This window comes from Homo sapiens, chromosome 3, assembly GCF_000001405.40.
Source record: "Homo sapiens chromosome 3, GRCh38.p14 Primary Assembly".
NCBI classification, from domain to species: domain Eukaryota; kingdom Metazoa; phylum Chordata; class Mammalia; order Primates; family Hominidae; genus Homo; species Homo sapiens.
Window position 1 is genome coordinate 120,137,854 of NC_000003.12, and position 20,468 is coordinate 120,158,321.

At 45.0% G+C, this 20,468-nt stretch overlaps 1 long non-coding RNA gene across 1 annotated transcript in view, besides 1 other annotated feature; it reads left to right on the plus strand.

Moving 5' to 3' along the window:
• Positions 7,228 to 8,427: an enhancer, noted in NCBI's record as "P300/CBP strongly-dependent group 1 enhancer chr3:119863928-119865127 (GRCh37/hg19 assembly coordinates)". NCBI's record gives its function as "activates an origin of replication core promoter dependent on BRD2, BRD4, P300/CBP, MED14 and CDK7 cofactors, with strong dependence on P300/CBP, by STARR-seq in HCT116 cells {active_cell/tissue: HCT116}" and the evidence as "EXISTENCE:reporter gene assay evidence [ECO:0000049][PMID:35650434]".
• LOC105374065 (uncharacterized) overlaps positions 7,811 to 20,468 on the plus strand; it is a 39,736-nt gene continuing 27,078 nt past the window's right edge. The window contains exon 1 of the long non-coding RNA XR_924392.3: positions 7,811 to 8,093. This is a non-coding gene — a long non-coding RNA (uncharacterized LOC105374065). The remainder of the gene's footprint in view (positions 8,094 to 20,468) is intronic.

Sequence of the window (20,468 nt, forward strand, 5' to 3'; positions counted from 1 at the left end):
ACTTTGGGAAAACACGAGACCACCCCATCCCCACCCCTGCTTAGAGACTCCCAGAAATAGTTGGGTGGTATTTGAGAGTGGTCAGATTTCCCAGAGTTGAAGGCGACAGCAGAGTCAGAGAAATAACATTTTTACCATTACTGTGACTATTTTATTTCAGACAGGTGTGGCCTAGGACAACATGGGTTATATTCAGATGTGTTTATTTGCCATCTTAAGGCACACAGAAACAGCAGAGAGATAAAAATAGTTGCGTTTAGGTTACAGGATTATGGGTAATTTTTGTGGCAACAGTTTAATAACATATATAGTTATTATTAACCAGTTACCACAGAATTAACAAATATTATAAATATAAAAATGTTATCAAATTGCTACCATAAAATTTTATATGTTTAAAAAATATGGGCCAGGCACTGTGGCTCATGCCTGTAATCCCAGCACTTTGGGAGGCCAAGGTGGGCAGATCACTTGAGATCAGGAGTTCGAGACCAGCCTGGCTAACATGATGAAACCCCATCTCTACTAAAAATACAAAAATTAGCCAGTCGTGGTGGTGTGCATCTGTAATCCCAGCTACTCGGGAGGCTGAGGCGTGAGAATCGTTTGAACCCAGAAGGAGAAGGTTGCAGTGAGCTGAGATCGTGGCACTGCACTCCAGCCTGGGTGACAGAGTGAGACTCCATCTCAAAAAAAAAAAAGATATAGTGTATATATGTATATATTTATATCAATACATATTCACACATATGTACAAGGCATACCTTGTTTTATCATGATTCACTTTATTGCATTTCACATATGTATATTGCATTTTTACAAATTGAAGGTTTGTAGCAACCCTGGGTCAAGCAAGTCTATTGGCACATTTTTTCCAATAGCATATACTCACTTCCTTCTTGTGTCACATTTTGGTAATTCTCATAATATTTCTAACTTTATTTTTATATCTGTCATGGTGATCTATGATAAGTGACCTTTGATGTTACTATTGTGACTGTTTTGGGGCACCATGAACTGTACTCATACAAGATAGTGAACTTAGTTAATGTCGTGTGTGCTCTGACTGTTCCACCAACTGCTCAGTCCCCCATCTCTCTCCCTCTCCTCCGGCCTCTCTATTCTCTGAGACATGATGATGTTTAAATTGGGTCAATTGGCCAGGCACGGTGGCTCACGCCTGTAATCCCAGCACTTTGGGAGGCCGAGGCAGGTGGATCACGAGGTCAGGAGTTCAAGACCAGCCTGGCCAAGATGGTGAAACCCCGTCTCTACTAAAAATACAAAAAATTAGCCAAGCATGGTGGCATGCCCCTGTAATCCCAGCTACTCCGGAGGCTGAGGCAGATACTTGCTTAAACCTGGAGAGGCGGAGGTTGCAGTCAGCCGAGATCACGCCACTGAACTCCAGCCTGGGTGACAGAGCAAGGCTCTGTGTCAAAAAAATAAAGAAAAAAAAAAAAGAAAGAAAGAAATTGGGTCAATTAATCACCCTACAATGGCCTCTAGGTGTTCAAGTGAAAGAAAGAGTCATGCATCTCTCACTTTAAATCAAAAGCTAGAAATGATTAAGTTTAGTGAGGAAGACATGTCAAAAGCTGAGATAGGCCAGAAACTAGGCCTCTTGCACCAAACATCCAAGTTGTGAATGCAAAGGTAAAGTTCTTGAAGGAAATTAAAAGTCCAACTCTAGCAACACACTAATGATAAGAAATTGAAACAGCCTTATTGCTGATATGGTGAAAGTTTGAATGGTCTGGATAGAAGATCAAACCAGCCATAACATTCCCTTAAGCCAAAACCTAATCCAGAACAAGGCCCTAACTCTCTTCAATTCTGTGAAGGCTGAGAGAGTGAGGAAGCTACAGAAGAAAAGTCTGACGGTGGCAGAGGCTGTTGCATAAGGTTTTAGGAGAGAAACTCTCTCTGTAACATAAAAGTACGAAGTGAAGCAACATGTGCTGATGTAGAAGCTGCAACAAGTTATCCAGAAGATCTAGCTAACATAATTGATAAAGATGGCTACACTAAACAACAGATTTTCAATATAGACAAAACAGCCTTCTATTGGAAGAAGATGCCATCTAGGACCTTCTTAGCTAGAAAGAAGTCAATACCTGGCTTCAAAGCTTCAAAGGACAGGTTGACTCTCTTGTTATGGGTTAATACAGCTGGTGACTTTAAGTGGAAGCCGATGCTTACTTACCATCCCCCAAATCTTAGAGGTGACAGCGTTCTGGAGCCCTCACAGCCCTCCCTCGCTCTGGGTGCCTCCTCGGCCTTGGCGCCCACTCTGGCTGCGCTTGGGGAGCCCTTCAGCCTGCCGCAGCACTGTGGGAGACCCTCTCTGGACTGGTGGAGGCGCAGCCGGCTCCCTCTGCTTGTGGGGAGGTGTGGAGGTAGAGGCGCGGGCGGGAACCCGGGCTGCGGGCGCTCTCAGGCCAGCGAGAGTTCCGGGTGGGCATGGGCTGCACGGGCCCGCACTTGGAGCCGCCGGCCGGCGCTGCAGGCCCCGGGCAGTGAGGAGCTTAGCACCCAGGCCAGCAGCTGCGGAGGGTGCGCGGGGTCCCCCAGCAGTGCTGGCCCGCCGGCGCTGCGCTGGAATTCTCGCCAGGCCTCAGCTGCCTCCCCGCGGGGCAGGGCTCGGGACCGGCAGCCCGCCATTCCCGAGCCTTCCCCTACATCATGTGCTCCTGCACCGCCCAAGCCTCCCCTACGAGCGCCGCCCCCTGCTCTGCGGCGCCCGGTCCCATCGACCGCCCAAGGGCTGAGGAGTGCTGGCGCACTGCGCGGGACTGGCGGGCAGCTCCGCCTGCGGCCCCCGTGCAGGATCTACTAGGTGAAGCCAGCTGGGCTCCTGAGTCTAGTGGGGACTTGGAGAACCTTTATGTCTAGCTAAAGGATTGTAAATACACCAATCAGTACTCTGTGTCTAGCTCAAGGTTTGTAAACACACCAATCAGCACCCTGTGTCTAGCTAAAGCTTTGTAAATGCACCAATCAGTGCTCTGTGTCTAGCTAATCTAGTGGGGACTTGAAGAACTTTTGTGTCTAACTCAGGGATTGCAAATGCGCATTTATGCGTGTTCTGTGGGTAAACTGTTATCAAACAGCATCTCATGCTACAGAGAGATCTTTTGTGAAAGGCAGAGTCAATTGATGCATCAAACTTCATGGTTGTCTCATTTTTAAAAATTGCCACAGCCATCCCAACCTTTAGCAACCACCACCCTGATCGGTCAGCAGCTACCAACATTGAGGCAAGATCCTTCACCTGTCAAAACAGACCAATCAGCTCTCTGTAAAACAGACCAATCAGCTCTCTATAAAATGGACCAATCAGCAGGATGTGGCTGGGGCCAGATAAGGGAATAAAAGCAAGCTGCCCCAGCCGGCAGTGGCAACCCGCTCGGGTCCTTTCCACACTGTGGAAGCTTTGTTCTTTCACTCTTTGCAATAAATCTTGCTGCTGCTCACTCTTTGGGTCCGCACTGCCTCTATGAGCTGTAACACTCACCGCGAAGGTCTGCAGCTTCACTCCTGAGGCCAGCGAGACCAGGAACCCACTGGGCGGAATGAACAACTCCCCACGGCAGGAATGAACAACTCCAGAGGAGCCACCTTAAGAGCTGTAACACTTACTGCAAAGGTCTGCAGCTTCACTCCTGAAGCCAGCGAGACCACGAACCCACCAGAAGGAAGAAACTCCGAACACGTCTGAACATCAGAAGGAACAAACTCCGGACACACCATCTTTAAGAACTGTAACACTCCCCGCGAGGGTCCGTGGCTTCATTCTTGAAGTCAGTGAGACCAAGAACCCACCAATTCCAGACACATTAGGACCCTCAAGAATTATGCTAAATCTGCTGTACCTGTGCTCTATAAATGTAACAACACAGCCTGGATGACAGCACATCAGTTTACAGAATGGTTTACTGAATATTTTAATTCCACTGTTGAGACAGTGGGATTAAATGCTCAAGCGAAAGCATTCCCTTGAATATATTAGTGGTCATCAACAATGCAGCTGGTCACCCAAGAACTCTGAGGAGATGTAAAAGGAGATTAATGTTTTCATGCTGCTAACATGCATCTATTCTGCAGCCCATGGCTCAAAGAGTAATTTTGATTTTGGGGTCTTATTATTTAAAATATGTATTTCACAAGGCTATATCTGCCATAGCTAGTGATTCCTCAGATGGATCTGGGAAAAGTAAATTGAAAACCTCATAGAAAGGATTCACCATTCTAGATGCCATTAAGAACATTTGTGACTCATGAGAGGAGGTCAAAATATCAACATGAACAGGAGTTCGGAAGTAGCTGATTTCAACCCTCATGAATGAGTTAAAGGAGGTCAAGACTTCAGTGAAGGAAGTCACTTCAGATGCAGTGCAAATAGCAAGAGAACTAGAATTAGAATTGGAGCCTGAGAACTAGAACTAGAATTAGAAGTTACCATCTCATGACCAAACTTGAACGGGTGAGGAATTGCTTCTTATGGATGGACAAGGAAAGTGGTTGCTTGAAATGGAATCCGGTGAAGATGCTGTGAACATAGTTGAAACGATAACAAAGAAATTATTACGTAATCTCAGTTCATAAAGCAGTGGCAGGCTTTGAGTGGATTGACTCCAATTCTGAAAAATATTCTGTGGGTAAACTGTTATCAAACAGCATCTCATGCTACAGAGAGATCTTTTGTGAAAGGCAGAGTCAACTGATGCATCAAACTTCATGGTTGTCTTATTTTTAAAAATTGCCACAGCCATCCCAACCTTTAGCAACCACCACCCTGATCAGTCAGCAGCTATCAACACTGAGGCAAGATCCTTCACCAGCCAAAAAAAAATTACAACCTGCTGAAGGCTCAGGTGAGCATTAGGATTTTTTAAGCAATAAGATATTTTTAAATTAAGGTACAAACATTATTTTATATTATATATATATTATATATTATATATATTATATAATATATAATATTATATATATATATTTGAGATGGAGTTTCACTCTTGTTGCCCAGGCTAGAGTGCAATGGCACAATCTCGGCTCACTGCAACCTCTACCTCCCAGGTTCAAGTGATTCTCTGCCTCAGCCTCCCGAGTAGCTGGGATTACAGGCATGCACCACCACGCCTGGCTCATTTTGTATTTTTAGTAGAGACGGGGTTTCTCCATGTTGGTCAGGCTCGTCTCAAACTCCTGACCTCAGGTGATCCTCCCGCCTTGGCCTCCCAAAGTGCTGGGATTACAGGTGTGAGCCACCACGCCTGGCCAATTTTTTAGACATAATGTTATTGCACACTTAATAGACTATGGTATAGTATAAATAAAACTTTTATATGCATTGGGAAACCAAAAAATTTCTTTTCTTTGAGACAAGGTCTTGCTCTGTCACCCAGCCTGGAGTGCAGTGGATCATAGCCCACTACAACCTCAAACTCCTGGACTCAAGCAATCCTCCTGCCTCAGCCTCCTGAGTAGTTGGTGTACAGGTGCACACCACTGTACCTGGCTAATTTTATTTATTTTTATTTTTGTAGAGACAGAGTCTTGCTATGTTGATCAGGCTGGTCTTTTTGTTTGTTTTTGAGAGGAAGTCTCGCTGTTGTTGACCGGGTTGGAGTGCAATAGTGCAATCTCAGTTCACTGCTACCTCTGCCTCCCAGGTTCAAGCAATTCCCCTGCCTCAGCCTCCCTAGTAGCTGGGATTACAGGCGCCTGCCACCATGCCCAGCTAATTTTTGTATTTTTAGTAGAGATGGGGTTTCACCATGTTGGCCAGGCTGGTTTTGAGCTCCTGGCCTCAGGTCATCTGCCCACCTCGGCCTCCCAAGGTGTTGGGATTACAGGCATGAGCCACTGCGCCAGTCAGGCTGGTCTTAAACTCCTGGCCTCAAGCAGTCCTCCTGTCTCAGCCTCCCAAAAGGCTGGGAGTATAGGCATGAGCCACCATACCTGGCCAACATACATTCCTCACATTCATTTGGATACACTTTCTGACTGGACACTTCATGAGTCAATGACAGATTCCACATGAGGCCCCCTTCAGTTTCTGGTAGGAAAAGCCAATGTGTTTGGAGACAGAGGAAGAAAAGTTTCCATCAGGACATGAACAGGGAGATGGGAGATAAGTAGTCACTACCTGTGCACCAAGGAAAGATAAAAGAGAAAAGTAAATGATACAAGCTCTCTAGACATCAGGGTCAGCTTAGGGTAAGATCAGCTCGTAGACAGAATAGGTCTTTAGTCCAGTTCAATTCCACCCTCGTCTCCTTGGATCTCATTTTCTTCCATTTCTCCTTCAAATCCTTATTAAAATCTATGAAAGCACACCTCATTTCTTTGCCTGACTTTGTGTTTCTTGGGGCTCTATTAGCACAAGCGCTCATCCTCTGACTCTGAGTTCTTGAACCCCAGTTCTGGCTTTACTTTCAAGCACCAACTAGGGGATCCTGGACACCACATAATGCCCTTTAGGCCTCAGAAGATTCCCTCACATTAAGCTGGCTGTGTGGTGGCCTAACTCCCAGCTGCCACCTGCCGTCTTGCCCTGTGGATGTTCATCTACCAGGGAAGAGCTTTGGTGCAGACCCGGGCAATCAGTACAGTTTCATGAATGACATGGGCTCCTTTCCCGGGTGGACTGCATTCCTATCATTCCTGAGAGCATGCTCTGCTCTGATCCGTAACTTATCTGACCTCAGGAAGGCTTGAGAACATGTAAAGAAAGCAAATGAGCTGGGTATGGTGGCACATGCCTGTACTCCCAGCTACTTGGGAGGCTGAGATGGGGAGGATCACTTGAGGCCAGTAGTTCAAGGCTGCAGTGAGCCGTGATTGTGCCACTGCACTCCAGCCTGGGTGAAAGAGTGAGACATTGTCTCTAAAGAAAGTAGACTGTGGCTAAGGTCAGGCCCAGGCCATTCTTTCTGGGCCTACTGCTCTGTCAAGGATTTCTGGGGTTTACCATGCTTTAACCTCTGGGGCCTCTTCAGACTTCATGAATAGCATTTAGGTAAGCCAAGGTTGTAGATGGCCCCCAGGTCACATGACTCCCCCACCCCCATCCCAAGTGGCTTACTGAGTCTCAGATTTGTCTGATGCATTCATTAAGAAAATCCCAGCTGGGTGCGGTGGCTCACACCTGTAATCCCAGCACTTTGGGAGGCCAAGGCGGGCGGATCACAAGGTCAGGAGATCGAGACCATCCTGGCTAACATGGTGAAACCCCGTCTCTACTAAAAATACAAAAAATTAGCTGGGCGTGGTGGCAGGCACCTATAGTCCCAGCTATTCGGGAGGCTGAGGCAGGAGAATGGCGTGAACCTGGGAGGCGGAGCTTGAGTGAGCAGAGATCGCGTCACTGCACTCCAGCCTGGGTGACAGAGCGACACTCCGTCTCAGAAAAACAAAAACAAGAAAACCCCACGCAGAGTAAAGTGCTTCTGCAGAGCCTATGAGAAATCCTTCCTTTTGTCTTTACTTGGTCCATACACTATTCCAGGTGGCTCCAGGGATTCCTGGCCTGGTTAATATAAAGGAAACTTCTGGTAGCCTGACAGAAACTCTAGTCTAGGTTCCAGGTTTTCATCAGTTGAGAATTAATGGTTAACTCCCAATATCCTGAAGAAGTATCAGGGCTGTTTAATGCCCCAACATTGCCAAATAACAAGCTTTCTGTTGAACACCTAAAGCCTGCAGAGTTTCACTAATCCCATTGAGATCCTGACTTTTGGGACCAGACTGGACATCCCAGAGTTGCCAAAGACACCACACCCAGCATGAAATACTATGGCTTCAGGGCAGGCTCTAGATCAGTCTTCTGACACTTTAATGTGCTTGTGAGTCATCTGGGGATTTTGTAAAAAATGTAAATTCTGATTCAGCAGATCTGGGTGGGGCCTAAGATTCTGCATTTCTAACAGGTTCCCAGGTGGTGCTGATACTGCTGGCCTGAGGATCACACTTTGAGTGGCAATACTGTGAAGGCAGCAGTGTGGATGGAAAACACTCCAGAGTTCAGATTCCCTTCAATGAATATAGTTTTCCTGCAGCTGGAACGGAAAGTAGCTTTGAGACAAATGGTAATAGTCTTTATCCACTTGGCCTTTGACATCCCCTTGTAAGCAAGCAGAGACAAGGGAAGTGATTAGTGCTCAAGAGGAACCCACACACGTAGGTATTTCTGCCCAGCGGCACATATAACACCTCAAATGCTCACCTCATATCACCCCATCCCTCACCCACCCAGTGATGCTGACTGTTTTAGCCTTTAGGCCCTAGATAGGGCAGAAGAGAGGGTGTGAAATTGCTCAGTGACTGAACAAGGGTTAGTTCTGGAGAGCTGGGATTCTTAGAGAAGGTAACAGGGTTCTTTTCTCTTCAGTCTCTACTGGCTGTCCAGGTAGTAGTTGGCAGCTCACTGGGAAGGGCACTGTGATAGTCAGAAATAAATAGGCCAGGCGAGGTGGCTCATGACTATACTCCCAGCACTTTGGGAGGCTAAGATGGGAGAATTGCTTGGGACCAGGAGTTCGAGACCAGCCTAGGCAACATAGTGAGACCCCCCCCCTCATCTCTACAAATAATTAAAAAACTAACTGGGTGTGGTGGTGAGAGCCTGTAGTCCCAGCTACTCAGGAGGCTGAGGTGAGAGGACAGCTTGAGCCCTGGAGGTGGAGGTTGCAGTGAGCCAAGATCACGCCACTGCACTCCAGCCTGGCCAATAGAGTGAGACCCTGACTCAAAAAAAAAAAAAAAAAAAAGGGAAAGAAAGAAAAAGTAAAAATAAAAATATAAAATAAATAAAAACTTATTCCTGCTCTCCAGAGTCTTCTTATCAAGTGAGGAAGACACACGTGGGCAAATAACAATGGAATGATGTGCTAACTCTCTAACAGGCTTATGACAAATATCTATATTGAATGTACCTAGCAAGATGGTGGAGAATGAGGTTTGGGAAGGGTTCTGGAAACTCTTCTCAGAAGAGTAGGCCAGGAGCTAGGACTTTTCCAGGTGTAGAAGGAGGCATGGAAGGGTTTTCTACCCAGCATTTTCCTCAGGAAAGGGCCAGGAAGAGAGAGTAGCTCCAAATAGAAGCCCCTGGACCAAGATTCCTCAGAACATATGACATACGGAAGGTGACTGAAAGAGGAGCAAAGGCGCTTGCTGAATATTAGATACATGATTGGGCAGATGGAGCGTCTACTGTGGTATGAAGTTTTTCTCTTTTTTAATGTTTCTTTGAGTGATTTTATAAGTATTTCTAGTAAAGTTAAAAGTAGATAAAGAGATGATTGCTGTAATGAAAGGGGTGTTTATGAGCTTCTCAAAGATCTTTGCACCAGAAAGAGATCAAAGTCAGACCACAGTGCTGCAGGGGTGGGTCTGTTGCCTACCGCCAGCTGCAAAGGGGCATAATTGCCATCTAGTGGCACAAACCCACAAGTGTGAGCTCCATTCTTGGCGTCTGTAGTCTCTTCAGGTAAGAAATTGTTATGGCCTATACAACCTCCTCTGTCCTCTTCCAGTTCCTAGGCCCTTAGTTTGGTTACTGGAGAAGATTGGTCCAACTAGGAAAATGTCAAATGGACAGTATTATGCAAGAGATTAATTCATATTAAAATGTAAAGAGTCACTCAAATGAATGTGAATGACTGATGTTGCCTTGATGTCTAATTTGAGAGAGGAGAGGTGTTGGTGGAAGGACCAGGAGAACAGGAAGAGCAGGAATAGGGTGGGGATGGGCTGTCCCTAAGAGAAGGAACAAATACAGGAAGAGGCCCTGCAGGAGCAGCTGCCTTTGATTTTACTTGTTTACCTTCTCCTGGGAAGAAGCAAATAGAAGTTGCTCGTGACATTATTTTCAGAGCTATTTTCAGATAGTGTGGCTAGAAAGGGCCGCGGTGCTATTTTGCTAGCAAGAGTGTTTAGCACGGCTAATTTTATCACAGAGTGGCTTTGTTCCTAGATGCACCAGCATGTTGAATTAAACATTTTGAAGAAAGGAATCCCCTATCAGTGCTTCCTTGATGATGTGTGGTAGCTCCTTTGGCACCATGAGGGCCAGAGCATGGTCTTCTGCCAGTGCCTGACAGGGGATCATTGGTTAGAGTCTGTTTCAGTTTTCATACTGGGCTCCAATTCTCCAGGGCCCCTTATTATTTGCCTAATTCTTACATTACATAGAGAGAGCCCCAGGGCTCCTTATAGACTGTGAAAAGGTGTTTTCAGATAAGGAGGGTGACATGTAGCAAAGCAGAGCCATTATAGAGCAGGTGAGAGCCGGAATCCAAAGGAGGCCACAATCAATAAAACACAGGTAAAATGGGATTTCTGCAATCAAGGATTTTACAATCAGACCTACACCATTCTCATTTTGGCTTCTGATGAGCTGTGTGACAATTTAATTTTAATTTTTAGTTTAGAGGAGACAGGCTCTGGCTTTGTCACTTAGGCTGGAGTGCACGGCTCAGAGAAGCCTCAAACTCCTGGGCTCAAGTGATCCTCCTGCCTCAGCTCTTGAGCAGTTGGGACCACATGCGTGCACCACCACACCTGTCTATTTAAAAAAAAAAATTTTTTTTTTGTAGAGACAGAGTTTCACTATGTTGCCCAGGCTAGTCTTGAATTGCTGGTCTCAAGTGATCCTCCTGCTTCAGCTTCCCAAAGCACTGGGATTACAGGTGTGAGCCACAATGCCTAGCTCTGTGTGACAATTTAGGCAAGTTAGCTGATCTCTGGGGTCAGTTTCTTTGTCAGTAAAATGGAAATAAAAAGGTGCTGTGGTTTTTTTTCCAATGCCTACCTCCAAATCTCCCTTCTGAGTACCCCACTTCCTTCACTGTGCCTCCCCACTTCCTGTTGGCACAGTACCATCCTCCAGTGTTGCTCAGAGATCCCCCTCTTCTAGAAGGAGGAGTTCTCGTGGGGGATGGAACAAAACCACAATGAAGGTATATGAAGGCTGAAGCTTCTGAGCTGCTAAGAGATGTTCAGTGTTTGGGCTACCAGGTGGAGGACCCCTCCTTTCAGAATCTCCTGGCTTCTCTTTGGAATCCCTTCCTCCCTCTCATGCAAGGGACTGTATAGGGACCCCTTACCAAAAGTCTAGGTGTGGGTGGCTCAGGCTGACACTGCTCTGAGTCTAAATGAGGGATGGCTTTTCCCTAGGCACTAATTATTTGGTTCCCTTTTCCAAAGGGGCTCTTTTCACCATCTGAGTGTTAAAACCTCAAAAGGTCCAGATTAAGAAGCTAGACCCGAAGAAAAGAGTTTTAGAAAAACCGCCAGCTGCTCTTAGCCCTATTCTGGGATTTCTCATATTCGGATTATATACAATCCTCTTTTTAAAAAAATTGTGGTAAAATACACATGTCATAAAATTTAGCATTTTAAGCTTTTTTTTTTTTTTTTTTGAAACAAGGTCTCGCTCTGTCACACAGGTTGGAGTGCAGTGATACAATCATAGCTCATTGCTGCCTCCACCTCCTGGGCTCAGGTGATCCTCCTGCCTCAGCCTCCTGAGTAGCTGGGACCACAGTCAGCTAATTTTTTATTTTTGTAGAGACAGGGTTTCCCTATGTTGCCCAGGATGGTCTCAAATTCCTGGGCCCAAGGATCTTATCAACTTTACCTCTCAAAGTGCTGGGCTTACAGGCATGAGCCATTGCACCTGGCCCTTTTGAAGCATTTTTAAGTGTAAAGTTCAGTGGTAATAAGTAGATTTACATTGTTGTACAGTCATCACCACTATCCATTTCCAGAACTTTTTCCATCATCCCATATTGAGATTCCATACCCATTAAACACTAACTCTCCATTCCACTCTCCCCCGACTCCCTGGTAACTGCTATTCTACTTTCCATCTCTCTGAATTCTAGGTAACTTAAATAAATGGAATCATATTTGTCCTTTTGTGTCTTATACAGGCCTCTTTTAAAGGAAAAAAATTGTATGTTATAGACATGCTGTACTGAGTATTCTGATGTTACATACACGTACACATACGTGTAAAAGTAGATATAAAATGCTAAGCTTATAGCTCCACTTAAGCTTAGGCAATTATAAAATAAAATTACCAAACTAAACCTAAAAATCCACAAAATCTTGTATTATTAAGTTTAGTGTGAGAGATAATGTTTTGCTAAAACAAAACTTCCAAAGGCATCTAATAATAGAAATAGTTTTGGGTCTGGTTTCTACATTTAATTTGTGTTTGCATTTTGGCTCCAATTATTTTAATGCAGAGACTAACTGCACACATATGTTGTAGAAAATGTTACTAGTAACATCAAAGCTTTGTTTGATACTGCAGGATAATCAGGCCACATACTTAGCCATAATATTGCCAGTAAGCAATTCTTGGAGGCCAATTTTAATGAGGCATTACTAGATAATAATGTAAAATTATCTCTTCTTGGAGATAAAAGTAATATTGTGGTATTGTTGAAATATGAATTAAAGGGGCATCTACTCTAATTCTTGTTAGAATTGGGAAGAGAGAAACCCTTTATTGTGATTACCTACTATACTTGCTGCTAATGAACTGTTGCAAGTTGATATATACAAAGATAAGCTTTAAGTAATGGAATCTAAATACGAAATTGCCAGCAATGTCCAGGTTCTCTTGAGTTCAGTGTACTTATAAAACTATCTTGATTGCTATGAAACAAGCCACCCCAAAGCTGAATGGCTTAAAAGAACATGTGTCTCTCAAGTCTATGATTTAGGCAGAGCTTGCTAAGGATAGCTTATCTCTACTCCACTAGACCTTACCTGGGGTGGCTCAAATACTAGAAGCTGAAATCACCTCATGCAGAGGTCAATAAACATTTTCTGTAAAGGACCATATAGTAAATGATTTTCAGCTTTGTGGGCCATGCAGTCTCCGTTGTTAATACATTCTGCCATTGTAGTGCAAGAGCAGCCATAGACAAGTAAATGGACATAGCTGTAGTCCAATAAAACTTTACTTATAAAAACAGGCAGCAGGCTAGATTTGGCCCTCAGTTCAAAATCTGCCAACCCCTGATCTAAAAGCTTGCTCTCTCACATGCTTGGCAGTTGACACTGGCTGTTGTCTGGGACCTTACCTGGGTCTTCCAGCCAGAACACTTCTCTATTAGAGAGAGCCAGGCAGAAGCCCTATATTTTATTTTATTTTATTTTATTTTATTTTATTTTATTTTATTTTATTTTATTATTTTATTTTATTTTATTTTATTTTATTTTATTTTATTTTATTTTATTTTATTTTTGGCAGAGTCTCAGTCTGTCACCAGGCTGGAGTGCAGTGGCGCGATCTTGGCTCACTGCAACCTCCACCTCCTGGGTTCAAGCAATTCTCTTGCCTCAGCCTCCTGAGTAGCTGGGACTACAGGTGTGCGCCACCATGCCTGGCTAATCTTTTTATAGTTTTAGCAGAGACAGGGTTTCACCATGTTGGCCAGGTGGTCTTGATCTCTTGACCTTGTGATCCGCCCACCTTGGCCTCCCAAAGTGCTGGGATTACAGGCGTAAGCCATAGCACCCGGCTGTCCTATCTTTTTAAAAACCAAGCCTGAAGAGTCATGAGGCATCACTTCTACCATGTGATTTGTTGAGGCAATCACAAAGCCCCATCCAGGTTGAAGGGTAAGAAATATAGATGTCATCTCTTGATGGGATAGTGACAAGATTCTGGAAGAGCATATAGGACCAGGAATACTGCTGTGCTCATTTTTGAAAAAGACAGTCTTTCACATTTACCACTTGCCATGTGATGAATCAATTCTCCCACCACTTTCTTACATTCAAAATCATTTCAAAATTGTCACTTATACAGCAGGGTTTGACGTCATTTGAGTTTCATTTGTTGGGAAAACATTCTCAAACACAATCTCAGGCACTGAAATTTCATGGAGTTTGTTCTAAGGCAGTCATACAGATGATTCAGAACAAGCCAAGACGTATTTTTCTGTTATCATTAAAATAAAATCCAAATTTCCCAAATTTCTCAGAAAAATCTTGTACATCCCGGAAAATACTTTCCTCATTTGAGAAACATGAATCTAAGTCTTAGGACAAGGGGGCAAACAATATCCTCCCAGCTCTCACATAGTCCAGCCCAACTTCCTGGAGCAAAGGTCTCAAATCCTGTCATCATAAGCAGTGTGCGTTTGCTGCAAGAGTCATCTTGTGGCGCTCCCTTAGGAAGCTGTAGTTCAAGGATTTGGTCTTGGCCATCTCTCTGTCTTTCCCTCAGAGACACTATGAAAGGCCCTTAATTGCTCTTAACCATTTTCATTTGCATTGTGGTTCTTCAGCAGCCTTTTTACAGCAGTGTGAGACAAAGGTCCTCTTCATTTTTCTTATTATCTAGAATTCTGGTTGATGTGCCTCAATTTGTGGGTCATCTTTTAAAAATAATTAGTAGGGTTTCGGTTGGTGCCTAATCTGGAGGACTGGACAGGCTGCTCGGTGCTCAATCTGATGGACACCTGATGCCAGCTGCCAGCTGGTAGAAAAGAAAGCATGGGAACCTTTTCCTGCTTAACTATATAACATGTTTTTTTTTTTTGAGACAAGGTCTTGTTATGTTGCTCAGGATGGTCTCAAACTCCTGGCCTCAGGTGATCCTCATAACTCTGCCTTCCAAGTAGCTGGGATTATAGATGTGAGCCTGCATGCCTGGCTAACTTCTCATTGTTTGTTTGTTTTTGTTTTTTGAGACAGGGTCTCACTATGTCACCCAGGCTGGAGTGCAGTGGTGCGATCTCTGCTCACTGCAACCTCCGCCTCCTGGGCTCAAGTTATTCTCCCACCTCAGCCTCCTGAGTAGCTGGGACTACAGGCGTGCACCACTATGCCCAGCTAATTTTTTGTAGATACAGGATTTTGCCATGTTGCCCAGGCTGCTCTGGAATTTCTGAGCTCAAGCAATCCGTCCGCCTCTCTCTTCCGAAGTGCTGGAATTACAGGTACGAGCCACCGTGCCTGGCCAAATTTCTCATTCCTAATTAACTGAACAGGTAGATCTCAAGAATACTGCCAACTCTGATAAAGCCTTTGCTGACATCTTTGTTCAACATTTTTGTGATGTAAGATGACATGGGAAGCAGGTCAGGTGTTTCTGAATACCTCCTTTAGAGAATTCAGGATAGCTAGATTGAGACATTGTATCTGAAGTCTTTAGGAGGCAATAACAGCACATGGTGGACCTCAGCGTTTCAAATAATGTATGTCAGCACGGTGGTGACAGCCCATAGCTCTCACACCCAGGGAGGCTTCTCTCAAGGTGGTTGGGTGCTGAGCTGCTCACAGTTGGTCCAAGGACTGAGGGCAGGGGGCCCAGCTGGTGTGGGACTGTGGGTACCTTTACTGAGCTGCTAGAAGGGAACTGGCAACATATTCTGAGGTGAGAAGACCTTCAGTTGAAAGCTATTTTGTTGTTTCTGTTGCATTTGGTAACTGAGAGGTTGAGCTGTGAGGTCACCTTTTCTCCAGTACGTCTTAAGAGGCTTCCCTCTTTCCTTTCATTTCCTTCCTGAGAGCCAAACCTTCTCTCTCTGACTCATGTAGTTGCTGTAGAGATAATTCGGATGTCAGAAGCAATGGCCATTAATTTGAGAGGAGGAGGGCAATGATTATTCAGAAACAAGTCTCCTCTCATCATGCAAATACCCCTAATTAAGAAATCCAGAGTCAGATTCTGTGTCATGGAAACATAATTTCCTTTGACTCAGAGAGTTCCAGGAATTGCTGCAGGCTATGAACCTTTCTTAGCTTCCTGGGTTAAATGACTTCACCCTCTGCCCTGAGTTTTCTTGGACAAAAGTGAATTCAATGTGACATGGATGAAGCATCTTCCATGTGCCAGTCACTATTATTTAAAACATGGGAGTGAACAACAACAGAGTTCCTGCCCTCAAGGAACTGAGTAAAGGAATCTTTAAGTGACAAACCCTGAATAATCTGTGGATCGTGATAGAAAGGTGAAAACTTTGTTTGGATACTGTTATGGGTTTAATTATGCCCCTCCAAAAATTAGTATATTGATGTCTTAATCCCCAGTACCTCAGAACGTGACTTCACTTGGAGACAGGGTCTTTACAGAGATAATCAAGTTAAGGTAGGTCATTAGTGTGGTTCTGTATTAGTCCATTCTCACACTGCTATAAACAATACCCCAAACTGGGTAATTTATAAACAAAGGAGGTTTAATTGATTCACAGTTCTGCATGGCTGGGGAGCCCTCAGGAAACTTGGGCTGAGGCAGTTCATGGCAGAAGGGGAAACAGGCATGTCTTACATGGCAGCAGGCAAGAGAGAGAGACAGAGAGAGAGAGAGAGAGAATCTAAAGGAGAAACTGTCAAACACTTATAAAACAACCAGATCTCTTGAGAACTCACTCACTATCACAAGAACGGCACAGGGGAAACAGGCCCCATGATCCAATCACCTCCTACCAGGTCCCTACCTCAACACATGGGGATTATGGGGATTACAACTCAAGATGAGGTTTGGGTGGGGACACAGAGCCAAACCATATCATTCTGCCCCTGGTCCCTCCCAAATCTCATGTCCTTTTTACATTTCAAAACCAATCATGTCTTCCCAACAGTCCCCCAAAGTCTTAACTCATTCTGGCATTAACCCAAAAGTCCAAGTCCAAAGTCTCATCTGTGACAAGGCAAGTCCCTTCTGCCTATGAGCCTGTAAAATCAAAAGCAAGTTAGTTACTGCCTAGATACAATGGGAGTACAGGCATTGAATAAATGCTCCCATCCCCAATGGGAGAAATGGGCTAAAAACAAAGGGGCTACAGGCCCCGTGCAAGTCCAAAACCCAGTGGGGCAGCCATTAAATCTTAAAGCTTCAAAATGATCCCCTTTAATACCATGTCTCACATCTGGGATTTGCTAATGCAAGGAGTGGGCTTCCATGGTCTTGAGCAGCTCCTTCATGGGCTAGCTTTGCAGAGTACAGCCCCCCAGCCTGGCTGCTTTCATGGCTGGTATTGAGTGCCTGTAGCTTTTCCAGGCACATGATGCAAGCTGTTGGTAGACCTCCCATTCTGGGATCTGGAGGACCATGTCCCTCTTCTCACATTCCACCAGGCAATGCCCCAGTGGGGACTCTGTGGGAGCTCCAACCCCACATTTCTCTTTTGCACTGCCCTAGCAGAGGTTCTCCATGAGGGCTCTGCCCCTGCAGCAAACTTCTGCCTGGACATCCAGGCATTTCCCTAAATCCTCTGAAATCTAAGCAGAGGTTCCCAAGCCTTAATTCTTGATTTCTGTGCACCCACAGACCCAACACTATGTGGAAGCCAAGGCTTGAGGCTTGCACCCTCTGAAGCCACAGCCTGAGCTGTACCTTGGCCCTTTTTTAGCCACAGCTGGAGCTGGAGTGGCTGGGATGCAGGGCACCAAGTCCCAAGGCTCCACAAAGCAGCAGGGCCCTGGGCCAGGCCCATAAAACCATTTCTTCCTCCTAGGCCTCTGGGCCTGTGATGAGAGGGGCTGGTGCAGAGGTCTCTGGCATGCCCTGGAGACATTTTCCCCATTGTCTTGGTAATTAATATTTGCTTCCTCATTATATATGCAAATTTCTGCAGCTGGCTTGAACTTCTCAGAAAATGGGTTTTCTTTTCTATCTCATCATCAGGCTGCAAAATTTCCAAACTTTCATGCTCTGGTTCTCTTTTAAACATACGTTCCAATTTCAGATCATCTCACTTAAATTCAAAGTTCCACAGATCTCTAGCACAGGGGCAAAATGCTGCCAGCCTCTTTGCTAAAGCATAGCAAGAGTGACATTTGCTCCAGTTCCCAAGAAGTTTCTCATAACCATCTGAGACCACCTCAGCCTGGACTTCATTGTCCACATCGTTATCAGCATTTTGGTCAAAGTCATTCAACAAATCTCTAGGAAGTTCCAAACTTCCCCACATCTTTCTGCCTTCTTCTGAGTCCTCCAAACTGTTCCAACTTCTGCCTGTTACCCAGTTCCAAAGTTGCTTCTACATTTTCAGGTTATCTTTATAGCAGTGCCCCACTCCTGGTACCAATTTACTGTATTAGTCCAGTCTCACACTACTATAAAGAAATACCTGAGACTAGGCAATTTTTAAACAAAGGAGGTTTAATTGACTCACAGTTCTACGTGGTTGGGGAGGCCTCAGGAAACTTACAGTCATGGCGGAAGAGGAAGCAGGCATGTCTTACATGGCAGCAGGTGTGTGTGTGAGAGAGAAAGCGAATCTGAAGGAGGAACTGTCAAACACTTACAAAATCATCGATCTCATGAGAACTCACTCACTATCATGAGAATAGCATGGGGGAAACCACCCCCATGATCCAATCACCTCCCACCAGGTCCCTCTCTCAACACATGGGGATTATGGGGATTACAATTGGGGATGAGATTTAAGTGGGGACACAGAGCCAAGGCATATCAGAGCCCTAATCCAATATGACTGGTATCCTTAAAAAAAAGGGGAAATTTGAATACAGAGACACAAATAGAGGGGAGACAATGTAAAAAGACAGGGAAGAGGCCAGGCGCGGTGGCTCATGCCTGTAATCCCAGCACTTTGGGAGGCTGAGGCAGGTGGATCACGAGGTCAGGAGATCGAGACCATCCTGGCTAACATGGTGAAACCCCGTCTCTACTAAAAATACAAAAAATTAGCCAGGTGTGGTGGCGGGTGCCTGTAGTCCCAGCTACTTGGGAGGCTGAGGCAGGAGAATGGCATGAACCCGGGAGGTGGAGCTTGCAGTGAGCTGAGATTGCACCACTGCACTCCAGCCTGGGCGACAGAGCGAGACTCCATCTCAAAAAAAAAAAAAAGACAGGGAAGAGATGGACATCTACAAGCCAAGAAGAGAGATCTGGAACAAATACTTCCCTCAATCCTTAGAAGGAAGCAACACTGCTGACAGTTTGATATCAGAATTCTAGCCTCCTGAACTGTAAGACAGCAAATTTCTGTTGTTTAAACCACCCAGTCTGTGGTATTTTGTTATGACAGCCCTCACAAACTAATTTAAACATTTAGTGGCTCCCTCTAGCTCTATACATCTGGTGGGAAAAATCCTGGGTGGGCATAACTTAAATATTTGTGTTGTTTGCATTTACCAGAAATTTGGTAAGTTCATACATTCATTTATTTATTCATCCATTGCCCATCTCCTTATGCTGATTTATTAATTTTTAAATTACACATACCACTCTCTGGAAACTATTTTATCTTCTACTTACTTGTTCATTGTTTCACCACAAGCTTCATGAGAGATGCTGAATAAGAATTTATCCTTCCTTGTTTCCTTCCCTCTCTTCCTCCCGTCAATATTTAAGCACCTCTTATGTCTATTGTGTGCACAGCATTCCATGCTTGTCACTGTTAAAGCATAAAGAGGTACAAGGAATGTTTCTTGTCCCCAAGGAGTCTGTGATTTCTGGGAGGAGACAAAGCATGACCATGTGAGTGGCTGTATTCCACCACCAGGTAGTGGGTGAGTATGTGCTGGCCAGGTGCTGGATCATAACTGTTGCCAAGAGGGAAGGTGCAGGGGACTGAGGGTGTGCAGGAAAAGGCTCCCGGAGAGGAGGGGCCCGCACTTCAGATAAAAGAGGGGAACAGGAAGGAGTATAGTGGAGCAGAATGTTAGTAATCCATTGCCTTCCTTGATGCCTGGGGGCTATGTTTAGGGAGGAGTGGGGTTGCCTCAGGCCAGGGTTGATCAAGGCTTGGGGATAGGGTGATGCACAGAACCCAGAATCTTCATTCTGGCATCCCAGGAGGTCAGAAACAAAGCTCAGAGGCAAAAACTCTGGCCACACATTAAAATCATCTTGGGAACTTAAAAAAGGCTAATGTTAAAACCCTACCTTGACCGGGTACATCCCGGGATCTGCAGGCAGGACCTGAGAGAGAAGAAATCCTTTTAGGATGTGGATTGACAGCAGTGGCTCCTGACCGCAAGGCCCAGGCCACCCTGGCCCAGTCATGGGACACCCGCAGTTCTGGAGTGATGAGGGTAACTGCTGGAAATAAGGCACCAGGCTGCATTCCATTGGTATGGCCTCCTTGTCCTGAGCGTAAAAGTGCCTACTTGTGACATCAGAAGAATGTGTTGACAGATCTGTATCCCACTTCCAATTTTTACTATATTTTATGGTGGGAGCAGCAGCAACAGCAGCAGGATTAATTAAGCTGGTTTCCCTCTTTTTTTGGTCCCCATCAGCTTTCTGCAGCTGTTCATGGATAGAAACCATCCAGAAAGGTGTTTTGTTATTTTTGTTTTTTGAGGATATTGGAGACATTGGGTCCAGGGTTTTAGGGATTGTTATGGTTTGAATGTGACCGCCCCAAAATTCAGGTGATAGTATTAAGAGGTGATTTAGGTCACCTAAATTTAGGTGATTTAGGCCTTTAAGAGGTGATTAGGTCATGAGGGCTTCTCCCAGCTGA